This window comes from Homo sapiens, chromosome 13 (genome assembly GCF_000001405.40).
Source record: "Homo sapiens chromosome 13, GRCh38.p14 Primary Assembly".
NCBI lineage: Eukaryota > Metazoa > Chordata > Mammalia > Primates > Hominidae > Homo > Homo sapiens.
The window spans coordinates 101,909,594-101,931,494 of NC_000013.11; the positions used below are offsets into that span (position 1 = coordinate 101,909,594).

Consider the following 21,901-nt stretch of genomic DNA (forward strand, 5'->3'; position numbering starts at 1 on the left):
AGGTGATAGAGAGGATGTGGAGAAATAGGAACACTTTTACACTGTTGGTGGGACTGTAAACTAGTTCAACCATTGTGGAAGTCAGTGTGGCGATTCCTCAGGGATCTAGAACTAGAAATACCATTTGACCCAGCCATCCCATTACTGGGTATATACCCAAAGGACTATAAATCATGCTTCTGTAAAGACACACGCACACATATGTTTCTTGCGGCACTATTCACAATAGCAAAGACTTGGAACCAACCCAAATGTCCAACAATGATAGACTGGGTTAAGAAAATGTGGCACATATACACCATGGAATACAATGCAGCCATAAAAAATGATGAGTTAATGTCCTTTGTAGGGACATGGATGAAGCTGGAAACCATCATTCTCAGCAAACTATCACCAGGACAAAAAAACCAAACACCGCACGTTCTCACTCATAGGTGGGAATTGAACAAGGAGAACACATGGACACAGGAAGGGGAACATCACACACGAGGGCCTGTTGTGGGGTGGGGGTAGGGGGGAGGGATAGCATTAGGAGATATACCTAATGTTAAATGACGAGTTACTGGGTGCAGCACACCAACACGGCACATGTATACATATGTAACAAACCTGCGCTTTGTGCACATGTACCCTAAAACATAAAGTATAAAAAAATAAATAAAATAAAAAGTAAATCAGACCAAAATAATAATAATAATAATTATCCAATTATAGCCATTGCTATGCGTTCATTTATCTCAATTGTATTCTATGCTTCTGCTGCATATATGTCCTGACAAATGTGGTATGTTTCATTCACTCAACAAATACTTCTGAAGTGTTAGCTGTATGCCAGGCACTGGTGAGACAATGACTTTGAAGTGGCCCTTCCCTATGGTGATGCCGTATGGGTTCCTATCAATCCCAATATCAAAAACCATAAAATCATAGGGAGAAACATACATTCCACAAAATAAATTACAAAATTTAATTTTATGAAAGGAGACATTTTTCTGAATGACAAAGTAGTACCTATCATAAAATGGTGTAGACACTGTGTCTGCATTTCTACGCATGCCTACTGGTATACTGTCACCCCAGTAAACAGCAAATGGTGACATTTTCATGTGATCTGAGTTTCTTAAATTGAATGCTGGACCATTATAGACCAAAACTATGAAATTAGTTGTTTTCTAATGCAAACACTGTAACTGGCTTTAAATTGCATTGACGTCTCTGAAATGGTCTCTTAGAGATTTGGATTCGTGTGTGTGTGTGTGTGTGTGTGTGTGTGTGTGTGTGTGTGTGTGTGTGTGTGTGTTTTAGTTGTTGGGTGCTAAAACAATATTTGAAATATTATATAACATTTGTATTATCTAAATATCATAGTCCTCTTTGGCTAAAGTTTCTCAACATTTGGGGAGACATTAATATAAATTATATCTAAGAAAAATATAGAATTCCATAACTAAGTGGATAAATCATATTTAGAAACCTTTCCTTTTAAATTTCTACCATTTAAAAAAATTTAAATAAATAAAATTTAGAAGACGTAACTTTACACCAAAGAGAAGGGAGGTTCTTGTTGGGTTTGAAAATACTTGTTCTCACAGTAACATCATAGAGAATGGAATTACTAACAAAAATCACAAGTTTGGGGCTAAATGTAAAAGTATTCAAATTCAAAATGTGAAGTGAAGCCCGTAATTGATTACGGTAACTTTGGGACAGAAGGTTTTGTGTATCTGAAATCTTGTTAGGAAAGGTCACAGGATTTCTTCACCAGACAGTTGGCCATAGATTATTAATATATGTAAACTCAACTCAATCTATGGATATAACTAAACCCAAAGCAAACCATCTTCTTTATGTTTAATTACATTATACCTAATCTGTTACACTATTTTACACTTTACTTATTGAACTACTGAGGTATTAAACATTTTCAGAAACCTATAGCAAATATGGACTGTGAAATCATAACAATTAAGCCACAGGAGGAAAATGCATAAACAATGAATGCCTTTTTTGTCTCTAACATTATTTCATTGACCAATCTGGTAATATTCTCATAAGATTCCCTGCTTAGAAATTGCATTTATAGTATGTCCCTTGTTAAAAACAAAACAAAACAAAACTCAACATTTTAATTTAGAAGACCATAATTTGATCTAACCTTAATACAACTAACAAATAATAAAATTATAATTATCAAAAAGTTAGCAACAGGTATTAATATGTAGTAAGACTCCAATGGGTATGGCCTTAGAAAACCAACACCAAAGAGAAAATATCTTCCAAAAAATAAAAAGTGCTTTGAAGAAAAATGTTCCCTTGTTTTAGTTTAGCCAAAACAGCCAAAACAAACAAGCATGTGGTCTTTGTATGAGCACATGGTAATGACACTAAAACAGTAGCGCACAAAAACAGTGTTTTTTTTTTTTTTTGATGACTATTTGCTGTGGATTATTTTCTGAGACGGTAGACACTTGTTTCCTTACATAGCACCTTGTAAGAAGGAAGGACACTTTTCTTAGAATAACTGATGGATTTCACTATCACACTGGAGCAAAGCAGTTTATTTCTATAGGTGTACATGCATTTCTGCTTTTTATATTATGCATTAACTTGAAAACACATTTTAAGTACCTCACTTTCCATTCCTTATACATACTGTAATTTATTTTAGTTAAAATGTTAGTAAGAAGCCCAGGCACCTGCTGATTAAGCATACATGGCACATAATACCATAGCTCTCATGATCACAGCCCCAAAAAAGTAAATCTCAAGAAACAACTGCATTAGCAGCCATGCCAAAGATTTAGAAAGGTTATTATCCTGTGAACAATTATGGTTCTTGTTTGATTGAAAAATTCATAATAAAAACATAACACTTTTGGGGATACAATGTTCATTATACACCATTGTAGTCAGTGGCTACTTTAGTTTTCATTTTTGTTAAGATTCCAAATAATAAAACTATTTGCAAACTGTTGATTTCCTTGTAAATTCCCCTTTCTTTGGCTAAATCAATATATGTAAATATCTTTGTTCATATATTAGTTAAGCTTTAAAATGAGGTTGTTTATGTTCTTGCATTCTTATAAATAACCCACAAATATGTAATCCCTCTAATTCTCTTAAAAAAAGATATAATTATATTTATTTAGGGAAAGTAAAAAAGGTATAAAATTTGAAAAGTATTTTTATGTCTAAAATTATCTAGTTAGATCACTCTGGTTCAAGGATACTTTCTTTTTTAGCTTGGGCCTATTAACCTTCCTTATTTCACTCCAATCCAAGGGCAATGAGGAGAACCCAGTGTATGGCAAACACTCTCAAGATTTGAGAGCCTATGAAGATGCAGAAAACACAGACTTTGCTTCTTCCCTACAATCAGCTGAATATGTATACTTAATTAATTATTATCAGGTATATATAAACAACAACAGTGACGTATGAAATACCACAGGAGAATTATTTTTAATTGTATCCAATAAATGAAGGCTTCTCAGAGGAGATGGCATTTTCTCTCAGCTTTTCAAAATGAGAATAATTTCATAATTTCAACAGGTGAATGTAGAAGTGAGGAGAAGATGCTAGACACACAGTAAAGCACAAACAAAAGGATAAGGATTTGAAAGCATATGACTAATTTGCGGGGTGTGTGGCATTGTATTGTGTTTGAAATCTGTGGAGGTCGGTGGAGGGTAGATGGAGCTGAATCTGGAAAGGTGGGTTGCAGTCATGCTGCCTACCACACCATTAATAGCCATCTTGCAAATTTCTGTCCTTCACAAGAGTAAGTCAACTGGTATAAACATCACTCTTCTATAGGGGTAGGGGTGATGGAGATAGGAAAGAGTGTGGGTGTAGGGCTCCAACTCAATAATCTTTACATTAAATAAATTACTACTTAATAAAGGATTTTTTAAAACCCTACATTTCAAAAATGTGTATTACCCTTCCCCAAAACACAAAATGTGGAGCTATTCTTTATTCTGTTTTCAAGCATATCACACTATATTCTACTTGACAATGTGCTTAAAATTTCTATGCCTCTTTTTTTTCTCCCAATGGGACAATATTTTTTCCACCTCAAGGTCTCTGCACACACATTGCTTTTTCTACCTGCTCTTAAAATCTCTGCATCCTTCTTACCTGTCATCTCTCAACCTGTGGATCCCAGTGTTGCCCACCCTGACTACTTTATCTAATTAGATCCCTCTCCCCACCCCTCTCTCCTCCATAATTCTTTATCCCAGCTCTCTTCATGCTTTATAGGACTTTGAATTTTATTATTTCTTATTAATTTGTTCCTTTCCATAGGCAATGACTCTCTACCCCATGTTTGTGAGCTCCATGATGGCAGGAACTTCAACTCTTCTATTCACTGCTGTATGTATATATAATACCTGCTACAGAGCCTAACAGATTGTAAAGATTCAATAATTGTTATATTATTTTCAGCTATAAAGACATATAAAACCATCAGACTTAAAGGTTGTATCTTTAATAAATATGATTTTTTAAAATTTTCTGAGGGCAATTCCCTATGTAAAGAGTGTGTAATAAGAAGGTAAATATGCTTGAAAATATGTTCGACAATAAGACTTAATTAAATGAATAATTATATTGTTATATATAATAATATAAAAGCATACTATTATATGTCGATATATAATTTACATAACATAAAGTCTTAATATTTGTTTTGCTTAAAATTAGTGATACTAATAAATTAATCCTTTTCTGATACTCAAGAGATATATCTGTATTTTTCTCCTCTGAAGAATATATATACTTTTATATAAGAAATATAAGAAGAATAAAAAATTCTCATACAATTTCCTTATAACGTATCTTCCCTTCTATTTTCCTGTCCAAAGTAAGGTAGAAAAGTGACCTCAAATATATTTTTCTTACAGAACATTGAAGATTGCTTATCATTTCAAAATCAGGAATACCAACAGAGCAGTCAGGGTTGAAAATGGAGAAACGGACCATTAGAAAACTCAGACAGCTTTCTATACTGACAAAAAAGTAAACACCCAACTTAAAATTCATTAAGTGTAAAGCAAATCCTCCTTCGCCACCCAATATGGCACAAAACATTTATTGTTCATATTTATAAAATAATCTACTGGCTATATTCTTAAGAAATACACACAAGTTTTAATCATTGTTTATATTAAAATAAGCTTATTTAGTAGATAGTATGTTAATTTACTTTATGTAGACAGCCAATTTGGAGCTGTATGTGGTGAAAACTGTATTCTAAAAGATAGTCTGTTTGATGACATAAGAGGATAAGCACAATTTAAGTCATAATAGATTGATCCTCCGTCTATCAACGGTGATTAAGGCAGTCGAGTTGGTCTCATTACACAAAGGTGGGCTGAATAAGGCTCTAGGCTAATGTGGAAAATTAAAATCCATTTTTTTCTTAATGGCTCCTACACTGGTCTGAAAATATGATTGATCCCAAATTCTCCAACAAGAAGTTCTTATTTTACTTATATAATTTTATTTCTCTAACAGAACTTCCACTCTGATTTTCTTCCTATCTTTGCCTTTGAAGCTTGATAGTAAGAGCAAGTAATCTCCAATTTCTTAAATGTGACAACAAGAAATTGTCCTTTTAAAATATTCAGCATTAGCCTTTAAAAAAAAAGCATCAAAACTTTTGGTCATCAATTTGCAAATGTAAGGACACGCACTCACTCTTTGAGAAACACATGTATAGCTTATGCTTCTATCCCCCGTCTTTGGAACAACAGGGCATTTAAAACAAATACAGCTGGGAGCCGACAATGTAATGTGCTGGGCAAACATATACTCCCATTAACGTAAATAGATTCTTCAATGTTTCCTACCAACCCCACTTGGTTATGAAAAGCCAGCAATGCCCATTTCCCCCACAGAACACACCACATGCTCGCAAAACAACCAGCCTTAGCAACTGGATGCAGAGACAGGCAGAGAGAGAGACAAAAGCGCCTGGCTCCTGAATAGGATGCCTTCTCAGACCCTGGCATTTCAAAGGCAGTGAAAGGTCATCCTAGGTACTAGTTTCTCAAAGAAATACCTGTAGTAAGGTAACTATTCTAGTCACCTTTATATAGTAACGGCTTGTATCTCAGGCAATTCGCCAGTTTTTCAATTAAAACTGACACATATTAGGGATTTTTACTTCTGCCCCCCGCTCCCCGCAATTCGGATTCTTTCTTTAGACTCCCTGAGCCTCTGTCCCCATCCCAGGATTTGACTGAAGGGCTGCAGAGCCCAGGGCTGCGCGCTAAGCAGCCTTCTGCTGAACCTCAGCGGACTGGGCCATAGTTCACACACCCTCCACTCCTTCTACAGCAGCTCCCGCTGGGGGCACCGCCAGGATATCCACATTTGTCCAAGGTCTGGGAACCCGGGAGGTTTCTAGGAGACCCCAGAGACCAAGTGAGGCCAGGCCCACCCCATGGAAACCCCCACCAGCTCAGATCAGACTGCGAGCGGTGGCTCGACCCCGGGTGTGGCAGGAAGGGGTGCCCCGCGTTCCAGAGCCAGTGCCAGTCCCTATCCTCCCGGGAAGCCGAGACTCAGGGGGAACAGGTTTCCCAGAGCCCAGCCTGCAGGGACGCGGAGGGCAGGAGCCGCCGGCGAGGAGCAGCCAACTTGCCATCTCTGGCGGCTGCACTTCTCGGCGGCTACAGGTTGCCCGACAGCGGACTCCAGGGTCCCCGCGACGGCACCCAGAGTGCTCAGAAGGGAGGCCGGGGCCGGGGTGGGCCGGGAAAACCGAGGGAGGGAAGGAGCCTGGAGAAGCTCCGTTTAGGCGGGGAGGGGGCGACCCGGGGCGCATCTCCCGACCATGACCCCCACAGACCTTGGCGCCGCAACCTGCGCTTCTTGAGGCCGAAGATGCGCACTTTGGAGAAGATATCCACCAGGTTGCCGTTGCAGAGCCCGCGGTTCTTGCTGGGGCTGCTCCGCCTCCTGCTGGCAGACGGCCGGTCCCAGTGCTGCTCCCGCGCCTGCCGCTTCTGGCGGATCAAGCCGCTAGCGATGGCCGCGGCCATGGTGGCCCCGGGAACGGGTCCGGGGAGGGAGGGCGCGGGAGGACGGCGAGCCGGGGGCACCGGAGGGGAAGGCGGCGGCGCAGACCGTGGCTCGCCCTCGGGGCAGAGGAGGGGGTGCCAGGCGGGACTGGGGAGAGGGGAAGGGGGGCTCAGTCCTGACCGGGACCCATCGCCCTCTCCGCGGGGCGCGGGGCCAGGCGCGCAGATGCGCCCAGGGCGCAGCCGGACGATCCCGGGAAGCCGGACGTCGTGGCCGCCGCCGCTTGGCCACGTCCGAGTGGAGAGCGGGACCGCGGCTGCGGGCGCTGCTGGTCACCGCTCGTCGCAGGAACCCCGGCGGGGGTCGCCACCGCCACTCGCGCTGCCTTCTCGCCCTGCCCGGCTCCCGGGCGGGAGGTAGAGCCGGCCGGCGGCTCCCCGGGCGCCGGCTGGAGGGCGGGTCCCGGCAGGGTCTCTGCGCGTCCGTCGGTCCGGGTCGCGCTGGGCAGGACTCAGCGCCGGGCTCCAGCTGCCCGCGGGCCGGTGCCGCCGCCGGCGCCGCCCGCTCTCGGCTTCTGCCGGTGATTGTCAAGTGCTTTGGAAATCAGCATCTGGAGAGACCAATCTTCTCCCCTGAGATCTCTAATCAAACGCTCCGTTCCCACCCCACTACACCCCCTCCACCTATGTGGTCCCCCTCCTGATGTACCTCTTCAGAAAGAAACAAAACGTATAGGTAATAATGATTTAAAAATAATAAGAAAGAAAGCTAAGATGGATTGCAGGGATGGGGTGCTAAGAGGCCGAGCCAAAGCAGGTGGAATTGAAGGAACATCGGGGCGCTTTTTCTTAGATGCAACTCGCTGGTTCCCGAGCCTTCCGCGGCTTGGTTGGGGCTTCTCGGTCTTAACGTGGTTACCGGTGCACTGAAACTCTCAGCAGCGGTTGGAGGGCGAGGTGGTTTCCGCCCTCCCTGCTAATCCCTCCAGCACCAACGCCCCCCCGTCGCCACCCCCAACCCCGGGTTGGAGGGAGGAGCCTCCACTCCTCACCTAGTCCACCCAAACTTGCAGGACCCTCCCTTCTGCTGCAGGAAGGGTAGGTTTGTCATTTTGAAAGGCTACACGGAGCAAAAAGGAGGGAATGGAAAGAGAGAAGGTGTGATTAAGCGAGATAGAAAGACCCCACTCCCAAATATGCTCCCCAGCCCTGGGAGGAGGAGATGACAGCCGCAGTAGCTGCTACAGAACAGCAGCTGGGTAGGATAAACGCCCAGGAGAATGTTGAAGAAGTCAGGGCAGAAATATAAGGGGCAGAGGAGGGTGTCACACTATTCCAGGGACAGTGAAAAGCAGCCAGACAGGACACTCCAATTTGAGCTGTCATCTTCTGGTGTCCCTGGGCAAAGAAGCTCTGTCAGGGAGCAAAGCCATCTGAACTGTGTCTGAAATTCAAATACAACAGCCGGCGTCTCCTCCCCCTTGATTTTCTGTCTGTGTCCCGACAGCGGTTCCCTCCTGGATACCTGAAAATGTGAAGGTCCAAGAGAAAGGGCGGCAGTGGAGGGCACCCGAAAAAAACAAAAAGCCGGGGGGAGGTTGGGAGAGAAACACTTCATGCTTGGATGAACACAGTTCCGTGGTTTCTAGGATACACCAGAGTGGCAGAACCAAGTGCAGCTCTGGCTCCGGGCTTCTTACTTTTCTCCTCTTCCCTTTACACTGCTTTGCCTATCAGCTCAGGCAGCTAAAGAGAAAGAAATGCTCGAACTAGACTTCTGGAAATTCAGTGTGAAGCAAGGGGGAGAGATGGCTCACTTGGTAATCAAGAGACTTGCAACAACCTTCTTCTCCAGTGACTGCTTTAGAGCTGGAAAGAGGGCAAGCACACTACGCAGGCAGCCCTGGGAGCAGTTCTCAACCAAAACACACTTTCTCTTTGTCTCAGGAATAGGCAGTAGAGTACTCGCCACCAGGCAACTGGGGGGAAGTGCAGCAGATTACAGGGAGGCTGGGCACCTTCTGCTCTAAGCAACTTATCCACAGCTTCTCCATGGAAGCAGCCACTGCTGGGCTGTTGTTTGTTACCTTCACTCCACATTTACCAACAAGTCTCCTTTTGGGAAGGAAATGCAACCTGATGAGAGTGTGTAGATTTAGATCTAAGGCAGGGATCATTGGCTTTACGACGGTGTTTGTCATATATTACAAAGTGTACTTCTGGAAGTTTATTTTCTACACTTTGCTATGTTACATCTACAAATTCTACAATTATTAAAAGGAATATGCTAGAGTTGTTTTGCTAGAAACTTGCAATCCCTAGTCACTCATAAAATAGCAAAAGTGAGAAAAAGGGGAATGCTAATTATTTTGCTCTGCCTTTCCCTCTCTATTTTCAGTTTCATATGTCTCTTTTCTTCCATTTTTTTGTGAGTGTGCATTTATGTTGTGTTGCTGTAGTCCTGCTTAAAAAGGGAAAGATGTCTATAGAGAGATGAAAATAACTAAATGGCTATTGAGTGTGTCTGTTGTTTTAATTCACTGAAATGAGTCCTACTGAACATTAAGAGTCACTACTCTTGGTTTCTATTATTGAAGAAACGCCATTTGTACATTTCAGAAGTTCTAGATTTGAATTTGCAAATGACTGTAAGATTAAAGCATCCAGGTTTATTATCAAAGGCTTCTTGCAGTGAGTGTTTCAAAAAAGTAAAATGTTAAGTATAGTGACCTCTTAAATCTAGTATGACTTCCCCAACACACCTAGTTTATTTTTAAAGGTTCTTTAAGCCTTTTGATGTATGTGCCAACAATATTAATTTGAAAAGAGTGACATTAAGCTTCTTGTTCTTATAGCCGTGCCTCTATTTTTGCAGGCATTTTCTTATGCTGCAGTCTTTCCCCCAAATCCTTGGACTTGGGGGTCAGGAGGTCAGTTTTTGGCCCTCTCAGAGCCCTCCCTTCGTTGTTCAGCAGCCTCGGACCAGCCTGACATTCAGCACCGCGGACAGGGATCCCGCCCCAGCCCTACCTCTCCCAGCAGAAGCAAGTTCGCTGATGGAGAAAAGCGCTGGCTGTGAGGGTCTCTGACACTTTCCTCCCCTAAAAGCAGTTTCTCACTTTTTTCCCTCATGATGGGAAGGAAATTGATCTTCACAGCTTCTACCGACGTTAATAACACCTTGGAACACAAAGCCTTTCAGCTTTTCCATAACCGAGAGATACTCTTTCTTTCTCGAGCGTCCCGACCCCTGGCGCAGCGCCTGAACAGCGGACTCCGGAGTCTCCGGGCATCTATTCTGGCTGTGAATTTCAGGAGCCTCAAGCGGTCATTTCTCTTCAACGTAGCTTCCTATTTTAAGGGATCTTGGAGAGGGGGGCAGCATTGGGATAATCAAGGTCTTTTAGGTTAATCCCTGCGTTTTCATTTTACCTCCCCAAAACGCTGTTTAGTTGTTTACGGATGGAGGTAAGTGAAAGAAAACGCAAGAGAGCCATCTGCTGTCTTAAGCTGTGATAAAAGAATGTGCAAAGCTAGGGTGAAAACCAATTCAGGGCCGGTGAACACAAATGTAAAGGTTACTGTAGTTCAGAAAATAATTTGTCACTCATCAGAACCTCCTTGGAGTTGTTAATTTTACCTTTGACGTTATAAAGAGGAAAATAAAGTACGGCCCAGGTGGTGTAGCTCCTCACCAAGCTATTGGGAGCCTGAACTCTCATTTCAGAGGTTCTTGGTTCATTTCTTGACTCTGCAACTTCCTAGCTGTATAATGACCTCCAAGGTGTTGCTTTAGTCTCTCTCAGCCTCAATTTCTTCATCTCTCAAATTGAGGTGAAAACAGAGCCTCCTTTTCAACTGCTGTGAGATTAAATTTAGTAAATAAATGTAAAGATCCTAGTACCACATCTGGTGCACCCTAATTGAAAATGACAGCTATGACTGTATTATCATCATCTTCCAGTTTACTCATTTCTATCTTGTAAATTCTTTTGCAGTTTCCATGTTTTTTCAATATCAAAATATATGTATTCCCTATGTATATTTCCTCACCACCACCCCCCCACAGTGGATGCATGACAAGATTTTAGATAATTCGAAACATAAGAAGTTATTTTAAATTTTGACGAAATAAGTCCCAAGTTCAAACCTTAGTTATTATTAACTACATTTGTGAACTGAGTCCCGTAAGCCTACTTTCACACCAACTGATTGATAATAAAAACATTTCTCTACCTTTCAGAGACTATGATGAGGGTCTATGAGAAAGTACTTCTAAAAACACTAAAATACTATACAAGCATCAGTTTGGAAGGTAATTAGTACACTGTGCTTGATGGTCTCCTGAAGATGCTATGATCCTTTTGGTCCTCCAACTTTAAGTATGTTGTTCCCTCTACCTGGAAAATTTCTATTGCCCTATCCTCACACTCCTCTTGATGATTAAAAAAAAAAAATCATCAGCTAAAGAGTAAGGCATGAGCCACCATGGCTTGCCAACAGATTTTTAAATAAAAATAAAGAGACTTTTTGGCTCTGTCTTGATGGAGCTTATAGTTTAGGTCTCAGCATAGATATCTTCTCTGGGAAACTTCTTGCCACCTACCCCTAATTAACACTGAATCTAGGGCACCTTCTAAAAACTTCATCATTCCTCTACTAACACCAGCAATTGTTGAATAAAGAGAGAGCTATATTGAAACTTCTACAAAGATGTCTGATAGGTAAGTGTCTCATGCTTAAAATGGCCATGAACGAACTACTGTTCTTCCTTCTTAAACCTGTTCTTCCAATCCTCGCCACTTCTGAAATGGCAACTTCATTCTTGTTCCTCAGGCTGAAAACTTTAGTATCATATTAATGTCATTTCTTTCTCTAATACCCCGTATATATTTGTGTAAGATCTATTCTGTCTATCTGCAAAATATATCCAAGATATCACTCTCACCACCTCCACTACTACCTACCACCATCATCTTTTGGGTGATTATACTACAATAGTAACTACGAAATCCCATACTTCAAAACCAAAGTCCTCACTGTAGTGGCCTGCCATGGCTCATGTGATTTGTGCCCCATCTCTGCCTTCAGTTGTTCTCTGACATCATCTCTATTCATCTCCCTTCACTTACCACTTGCTGTCCATCAAACCACCTGGCATGATCCTATGACAGGACTTTTATACTTGCTGTTGCATTTGACTCTCATCTCCTATGAATCTTTCCTCACATCTTTGCTCATAAATCTATTTAAAATTACAACTCATAAACACAGACATTTCCTTCTTGCTACCCTGCTTTATGGTTCTACATAGCACGTACAACTTTTAAAATTTCCATGTACTTTCCTTATTTATTTGGGCTGTCTTCCCCGTTTAAAATATAAGCCTATAAAGGTACAGACTTTGTCTCCTTTGTTTACTGCCACATATCCAGTGTTTAAAATGGTGCCAGGCAAGTAGGTGCTCAATAAAGATTTGTGTATTGAAAGGATTAAGACATTGGATATCTGAACAAATAGACAGTTAATACCAAATAAGAGGAACAGAAAATCTTGCTTAATCCAGTCTGTCAAGGATGAAGTACCCCATGGTACCTAAAGAGATCCTTGATCTCTTTAAGCACCAAGACACCTAAAATTCTATCTGGATTACACACAATCTCAACTTCATAAATAGGATACACCGAAAATACTTTAGCCTTTGCTTGATGTCCTGGGCTCAACCAAACATGACAAACAGTTTGAGTTCTGAATTTCAACAGTGACACCCTCGGGGCTTACTGAAGGATGTGAGACTGTTTCCATTTGAATCAAAAAGGACTTCTGGTATTTGTGATTCACCACTTCTCCACACTTCCTAACACACACACAGTTTTCTATCTTGCCTCCTCATTTTCAGATTGTTGATTGATAAATTGACAATATGCCCTTTTTCAAATTTGCTACATCTAATCATGTAATCCATTATAGAATTTGACACCAGATAAATGTATTTGTTAAAATTATCTATAAATATTAAAGTATATAAACTCGAAGTGAGGAGAGTATACAAACAAGAAACAGCCTTATTGAAATTGAATTGATTATTAAATTTTTTCCTATTGCATTCTGAGTTCCATTATGTTCTGGATGACTTTGTGGCATACATTGTTTGCCTTCCAAGTAGATAAGTTTCGATACAGTTTACTAAAAAAAAAAAGTGCCTGGATTTTGTTTTTTATTTATCCTTCAAATGAACAAAAAAATCCAAAAAACATATTTTGTACATTGATATATATATTAAATTCTATCATGTTATTTTTCCAAATAAAAATCTATTACTTTTCCTTCATTTCTGCCATTGCCACGGCCACTATTTCGCCTTTCCTAAATTTGTCAAATTTAAGAAGCTGTTAATTTTAAGATTATTTTAGGTACTTCGATGAAAGAAATAAAAACACTTCATTAAGCTATGTTATTTTATAGATTATAATACGCATATGAATTCTAAAGGTGTTTATACATAAAAAGTATTGGCATCTAAGAATCACTAAAATATGACGTGTACTTGATCGTTTTCATACATTAAGTGACTCACTCCGTTTTGTCACATGGTTTCCTTTGTGAATCACTTTTGACATTTTTCAACATCTCCAAAATTAAAGATAAAATATGAAAGTCCAACATTATTTTTTCCACAATTAAATTATTATAAACCAATTTGGGGTGAGCTTCAGTGGAATTAAAGATGATATATATTGGCATTTGTTTAAATCTCCTTTCTCGATAAATGGGTTCTATTTGAAAATGTTTGAAATACTTCCGGAAAAGTAATCGATATTGATGTCCCTTTTCATTTTTTACTCATTTGGAAGAATATTTAAAAAGTCATATTAGTATGTACTTGGGGCAAATTTTCAACTAGTTAATTAAGACTGACTGCTTATCCGCTCATTACAGTTTAAGTTCAAGATCACATTTTTTTCCGTGATAGTATTATTGACCTTTATTTTAGAATCAAAGGTTGATCTAACTGAATATTAAATAATTCTAAATTAGATTTTCAAAAACCAAGTGATTGCATTAATGTTATAACAGTCTTGTTGATTAATTTTGCTGGATATATTTATTTCTGGTAGGCAACAGATTTCTATCTATTAAAAAACTGGAAGGAATTTTATTGTTGCTTAATGTTTTGATTCAATAAAGGAAAAGTAGAAACTATTGATACTAAAAACTTGTGAACATTCTTTCCTATAGAAGCAATACCAGATTGATACTAGCAGATGGTTTAGCTTTACAAATTTAGTGATTTTCTTTTAATCCAGCTAATACGTTGGAAAAAATATTCTCAGTAGCTTCCAGCCTTCAATACTAAAGTGAATCCAAAATGGGCATAGAAGTCATTTCTGAGTTGTGAATATTGGCAAATCTTTTCCTACTCTAAATCAGTAGTGGAAGATTAAAATACCAAGCATTTTAATAATAGATCAGTGAATTTTTAACACTACTGAATACCTCAACAGAAAAAAAATTACTCAATTTCCAAGAAAGTTTGAGAAAGGAAAGTTCATTTATAATCTCAATGCAAAGAGAGTCCCTGTGCACATGTGATATAATCTTTTTCATATTTAGCACTGTAATGAGTTTTTCAATAATTTCTAGAATGACCACTTTCATAGGAAATAAGTGAGCTGGATTAAGATTATGTTCTTTGCATTTAGCATACATGAGTTAAACATATATGTAAACTTGTACATCTGCACACACATGTTGTATGCATTTGTGCCAAAACACACAACTAAATTTCTGACTCTGTTAAAGGTAATTAAAATAGTGATTTTTTTAAAAAAGCCATTTTCAAACTCCCAGTTCATGCCTCCTAGTAACCTGTTTTCATTACTACCTTCACAGTATAGAACTTTTACATTCACATTTGAAAGTTTTCTGGATAATAGTTAAGTGGGAATTAATAATAAATTAGAGAATATTTCGGTCATAATTATTTAAATGGGAACAAGAGCATGTCTGTTTATAAAACATCCAAATAATATGTGTATAATAGTATGTGAAAAGCTTTTAGTTCTAGTGAAGTGGACATCATGATCTCTATTTTACAGAAGAGGCAATTAAGCCCCAGACATGTTAAATGATTGCCAAAGTTACACAGCTATGAAGTGGAAGAACAAGATCTTAAGCACATGCCTTTTCTATCACACTATCTGCCACCCAGAAGTCAGCTATTTGAAATATACATGTCTGACACAGTGACCAGTGTAGAATAAGAACTCTTACATGGGAGCCAAGGACTTCCAGAAGCTCCAAGGATGGGTGTAGGATTATCTGATTCCCCTGAAATTTATGCTGAAAAAAAGGTGTGCATGTGCATGTTGATAACACCAGGGTTCACAATTTTTATTCAACTGTTAAAAAGCTCTGTGAGCAAAGCAAGAATAAGAACCGAAAACTGTAGAGGAGGGCAAAGAAAGAATGAGAATGAGAACACAACATCCAATTCTACATTTTCTGACTATAAAAGTACAATTAGAATATAAAAATAAATGACAAATAAAAATTGCCTCTAATCCCAACATTCAAATGTTTTGGTATATTTTTCCAGTTTTTTAGAACGTTATTTTACATACAAATTTGCTATCATATTTTTGGCCCAGGTTGGTGACTGAGAAGACACAAATGCAGTAAAAGCCAGTGCATCAAAGACCATACACTTTAATTATATGACCTGAAAGCGTACCAGGGACTACATATTCTACATTCTTCCAAAAACTCTCTACAACTAAGAGGGCACTTCCTCCTGCAGGTTCTGCAGGCTCTAATCTCTGGGGACAACTGGTACTTCAGTGTGCAGGGTTTCAGAAAGTCTAGTTAAATACCGGAAGCCTTCAGGTTCTGGCAAAGTTGCTATTAATCTGCCTCTGATCTTGTAATCTACTTCTAAAAGATGCAAGTGAAAGTAATTTCCAAAGTGCATGCATGTAGGAAATGTTATAATTTTAAATTAATGCCTTATTCCTGAGCCTAGTTTCTACTTTGTATGTAACTGCTAAAAATATAGATCTTAAATTATTCCCGAGTCTTTCTCAGTAACCTACAGTGTAAGTTTCATATTGCTTCTGTAACAAATTAGCATAAACTTAGTTGCTTTTAAAAATACACATTTATTCTCTTCCAGTTCTGCAGGTAGACAGTCCCAAATCAATCTCACTGGATTTAAGTCATGATGTCTGCAGAGCCTTCTGGAGGCTTTGAGAGAAGAATCCATTTCCCTGCTGCTTTTTGTTTGTTTAATCTTCCAGAGGCCACCTGCCTTCCTGGCTCACAGACCATGTCTTGCATCTTGCTTCCATTGTCACATTTCCTACTACTGACTCTGATCCTCCTGCCTCCCTCTTCAAGATCCTAGTGATTTCACTGGGCCCACCCAATAATCCAGGGGAATCTCCCCATCCCAGGATCCTTAACTTAATCACATCTGCAAAATCGTGTAAACTGACGTATTCACATACTCACAAGTTGCAGGGATAAGGATATGGGCACCTTGGGGGAGGCAATCATTCTGTCTACCACACCTACCCTGTATCCAAAACACACAGAAACAGAATCCTTCCTAGCCTTTGACACTTACCCACGCCCCTCTGATGGACAGAATAGCTGCTTCCAAATACCAGTTTTTAAATGAGAGTCCGGTTTCCTACCAACATAATTTTTTAAACACCAGCAGCTGTTTACTCGATTGAATCTCTAATGATTGCCTGCTCCTGCTTCCTAGGCTGCTTTACTCCCCTGCTCAGTGTTACCTGTTATCATTTGCTGGACCGCTCCAGTACCACCTGCTTACCTGAATTTCTTATAACTTTAATTATTGCATCGCTCAGAAAAAAACGTACAGCAATTCTCAGTGATTGTGGAGACAGGACCATTAGGCTCCCCAGTGAATTGTGAGAATGCATTTTTCTAAGCCCCACATAAATCCATGAAGAATTTAATTTCTTGAGTTTATAACATGCCTTTCATGAGATTTAAGGCCATAGAATCTAGCTAAATAAAACTAAAGCTAGACATGTGATGCTTTACAAAATGAGATTTGGGGCCTAAGGCTATTGCCAAATGAAGGAAATACATTCTGCAAGTCTTTTTTCCCCATTCCACTTTCATTTTTATATAGCTGTAGGGGAAGTAGATAATTGGTCTTTCCTTTTAGAAATTTAGATGAACTCCTTAGGTAAGAATTTGCCTTAACCGTATAGGTTGACACTGACTGCAAATGGAAAGGTGCCATTTATGCAAAAGATTTTTAAAGAAATCAGAAATATTTCCTGAAGCTTTATGCGGACAGAGGAAGAGGAACCTCAGGAAAAAGAATTATTTCAGAGAGAACATCATGGATATTTTTAAATAAACAAGTTTTAGAGCCCCGAGACAAGCCCTGCTCACCACATTTTTCTTTGCTCACTCCTTCACCCCTTTTGGCCTTTTTGTGTTGTTTCTCTCTGTACCCTCCTCTGAGGTCCTACAGAGATTTGAAACTGGCTTTCAGGGATGAGGGTACCCAATGGTTAAAAGAAGGCTTTGGCTGTGAGTCAGGAATAGCGGCCATTGCACTTGACAGGTTTTGTTTTATATGTATTGTATATATACATAAAATATTTGAAAGCACCAAGACATATCAGCAAATGAATCTCTCCCCGACAGGGAGGGATAAACTGTCCAAACACAAATTTTTCCCCAAGACACCTAATCGATGCAGTCAGCTGTGCTCAGGAGAGGCCTGCACTGGCCATGCTCACAGGCTTGTGTTCATTTCTCCATGAAATGGGCTTCGTGATCCTCTCAAGAGATTTAGTTCTAGCAGGACAAGTTTCAGATTCATTTATGTCATGGGTATTTGAGTACAGATAGGAGACAGCAGTTTTACATATTTGTACTGTACAAAGTTTAGATCTGAGCCCTTGTTGCCCTGCTGCAAGAGTCAAAGCTGATACTCAAATACTCTAATTCCCAGCTCTTTGTCATAGGTTTCATTTCCAGGACCGGGAGTTGCCCCTTTCTGGCCTCTTTGAAGGGTCATTCTACCCTCGGTGAGTCAACGATGTGCACAGGCTCCCAGCTTCCCTGCCTCTCCGGGGATCATTTCTTTGACTCCTACACACTCCTGGCTTTCCCAACACACAGCTCCTGATCAGAGGGGCTCCACCTCCCCAGAGCCTGGAGCAGTGCCTGACCCACCACAGGTGCTCAGTCAGTGTTTGTCAAAGGGAGGATGAGACTCAGACAGGAATAGTCCCAGGTTCTGGACTGTTCCTGATGTCTTTAATCCTCCTCCCAACGGTAAGACACATATGCCCTCCGTCCCGTTTCCCTCTTTCATCCCCGGTGACACTAGAACTTTTCAAAATATCTAAAAAAAATAGTCCCTCTCTAGAAGAAGCTACTTTTACTCTTGAAGCACTAAAAGAGGCCCTGTGGGCAGAGGCTTGTGGAGTTCTGGATGACCACGAGCTGGACACTCTGCATGTGGAAGGAAGTGGAAGGTCTGCTGCCCAGGAGATTTTCCTAACATTTTAATAAAAGGGAATGGCATATGCAAAGGAAAAGGAAGAAAGTCAACCAAATGCAGGCTTTCGGCTTCATTGATAATAATGAGTCTGAAAATAAAGACACTTTTTAGTACATATTAACATAATCGAGGACCATTTTTTATTCAAATCACTGAAAACTAATACAACTTGAATTTTTTAATAGTATACTTAAAACATTCTAAACTTGCTGTGGTGTGTGTGTGTGTGTGTGTGTGTGTGTAGTTTTTGCTAACTTCAATCAACAGGGAAAGTCACTGAGCACAGGATATTTTCATATTATATTTCTCAATTTTATTCGTTTATGGCTTTGAACTGAAATCTTACTGTTATCTTATTTTCCCTATTTTTTTTTGAGACAGAGTCCCACTCTGTTGCCAGGCTGAAGGTTAGAACAAGAAGTAGCCTTAGAGATGATTTAAAACTAATAATCCCATTTTACTGATCAACACACTGAGGCCCATGGAGGTTAGGTAATTTGCTAAGCTCACGGCTAACTGGCAGCAGCTCTCAGCCTGATTTCTCTTCTCCTGATGTGGTGTGCCAGGACCTCTCCATCACAGCTCTGTACTTCTCAGAAGGCCTTGGCTACAATGCAGAAGAGTGGCCATTATACTCTCTCCAGAGCATTTCTGGAACATGGCTATCTCTCTTTTCTTGTTAAGCACAGTCCATTTTTTTTTTCTATGCAGCTATACATACTATTATTAAATGCTCTGAGTTGGATATGAATTACTGCCTCCAATGTTTGCAAAATAGGCCTCGCTTGGACAATATATTCATAAAAACATAATTTTCAGAAAGGTTTACCTCTTGGTTTATATGATCAACCTTTATTTATCATCAAATAATTCATTACATTAATGCGTCTATTGAGCGCTAACTCTGCACCACTGTACTTGACCCGGCATTCAGGCATCTCCCCTTGAGTGGCTCAGAATATAGCGGGGAAGATGTTGACATAGGCGCTTGTGCCTAAGTGTCTCAGATGCTGGGTGTGAAGCACGTGCAAGAACAGTGGAAAGAGTCAGCTCCACCTGGTATGGGTTGGGAAAGGTCTCATGGAAACAGTAACACCTGGAGCTGAGATTAAAAAGATGGGAGATAGTCACCAGCTAGTCAAGGTGGGTATGGGGATTGCAGTCAGAAAATGTCAAAATAGAGGAACCCTGAGTTACAGGCACAGCCTAATCTGTGAAGGTAAGCGGAAGCAGCCTAATCTGTGTCAGGGGAAAAGGATACAAAAAGCCTGTCAGTGACGAAATTAGGAATTTTGTATGTCACTGGGGACATTCACACCAGCTGTAGAACCAGCTGAGGTAATAAACATTAAATAATATTCATGAAGAGCTATTTTCCACATAGGTTTGCAGTAGACCCACTCAATTACCTGGGCGTTGTCACGTCATCTGACTATTTTCATGCTGACCTCTTCCCATGCTTTTCTATTAATGTGTGAGACATGGTCATTGGACTTAAAAATGTACACATTATATGGCATCTTTATTTATATGTGTTATATATCATTAAATATATACATATATGCACATATATACATGCACACATTCACATAAAATAGACTGAAGTATAAACAGTGTTTATCAGTAGGTGGTGGGTTGTAGCCCTTTATGTTTTTTATTCTTTGCACTTTTCCCTGACTTTTCACAAGGAGCATGTGCAACTTGCATAATCATAGAAGGATGACTTTGTTTTTAATATAGGTGTTCATTTAGTAAAGAGAAAAAAGGGGCAACACATACATAAAGGAAAAAGTCTGTAGCTGTGGAGCAAGCTGTGGATATCCACTAGCTGATTAGAGGGCTTTACTTCCAAATTTTAATTCATCCCATTACTCGTTTTAACGTGAGAGCTTATTCTATTTATATCAAAAGGCTTGCATTTCTAATTCTTAAACATCAAATTTTTTCCCTTCCCTTCCTGTTTTCAAAGACATGAAATAGTTCTGTTCCAATAAGACACTTGAAAAAACAAACCAAATGAGAAACCCAACAAAAACAACAACAAAACATTTTTCCTTGAAAAATCAAGGTTGCAAATCTCAGAGGCAACTTCAGTATAGCTTTTTAGAGAAATATTGAGAGTATTTACAAGGTCTTATGTCAAAAAGAGCCAAATTAATTTCCTGCATTAAAATATTGCTCTCTTTATGGTCATACCTTGGCTCCTGGGTAAACATACTTCATTGTATTTATAGCACACTCATGTCCCCATATCCTAGTGTTAATACTGTATTGATAAACACAGAAATGAATCTCAGCCACTGGAATGCTCCATTTTCATAACATTCCTTATGTGGTTACACAATCATTCAGCGATTTTCTTTTTAGCCTAGAGGGACTCAGTCAGTTGCAAAGTTTTTTCCATCAACTTTCCTTGGCTACTTGGTATGAACAGTTTAATTTCATTTTCTTCACAGACGAAAAGTATTTTACACTGTAACAATCCTTGCATATCATTGTAGATTCAAACATGCTCACTCACACACACACTCACACACAGAGTTAAACTAATACTGCTAATCCCTCTAGGTATGTCAAGGAAAATAAAAATATCTGCTTCCATATAGAGTTCCAGAGGCTAGTTTGTTAAATCCACATTTATTCTTCTGCTCAAAAGTTTAGTAGGAAGGGGACTTACAATCATCTGGTCCTACAGTGTTCTAACAGCCCTGTAAAGAGAATGCCTGTTTTCCACTTAGACGGTCCAACAAGTTAGAGTCCAACAAATTTACCCCTCTCCTTTTTTGAGATGGCTTGTGTTTTAGCATGCCCTTCTCAGAATTGGCCCCAAAGCCTGGTTTTCTAAAATGTCCAGTCATCTTTCACTTATTGCCCATCGGAACAAAATATTTATCCTTCTTCCATATGATGGTCTTTAAATATTTTATGACAAAACCTACCCTATTTATTTCTGTCCCTTTAGTTTCAGGAGACCTCACTGACGTTGACCCACCCAGGAGAGCTATTGCTGAGATCAAACGAACCCTGTAGGTTTTTTCTGCTTGTCTCTGGAATGCAAAGGCGCCCTTCCCATCCTCTTCATTCTCCCTGGTCCTGGCTTCCCAGCTCCTTCCATTCTCCCTCACGCTGTCTCAGTTCCAAGTCTTCACTCATTTCACTGTCTCTTGGTTTTTCACCAGCAATTTAGTTAGTAGTTTGCATTTGCTTTCTTTGGCACTTCTTCAGAATACACATTTTGATGCTCTCTTTAGTCACAACACCAAGAGACTTCACAATGAGGCTGCAATTATCTCAATTCTCTGAAAACCTTAGG

General features: G+C 39.9%; 1 protein-coding gene across 22 annotated transcripts in view, besides 1 other annotated feature; it reads right to left on the reverse strand.

Annotated features, from left to right (window-relative positions):
• The window catches only part of FGF14 (fibroblast growth factor 14), a 691,640-nt gene that overhangs the window by 198,790 nt on the left and 470,949 nt on the right, over positions 1-21,901 (reverse strand). The window contains exon 1 of one of the 22 annotated variants that reach the window (NM_004115.4): positions 6,860-7,352. The exons of the other annotated variants lie outside the window; for them this stretch is intronic. Within the exon in view, the coding sequence (NP_004106.1) occupies positions 6,860-7,052 (193 nt within the window). The 5' untranslated portion in view covers positions 7,053-7,352. Of the gene's footprint in view, positions 1-6,859; positions 7,353-21,901 lie in introns of those variants that run through there. 22 annotated transcript variants of the gene reach the window in all.
• Positions 8,683-9,184: an enhancer, noted in NCBI's record as "NANOG hESC enhancer chr13:102570626-102571127 (GRCh37/hg19 assembly coordinates)". NCBI's record gives its function as "activates a minimal SCP1, AML or CMV promoter by ChIP-STARR-seq in naive H9 embryonic stem cells {active_cell/tissue: H9 hESC(naive)}" and the evidence as "EXISTENCE:reporter gene assay evidence [ECO:0000049][PMID:30033119]".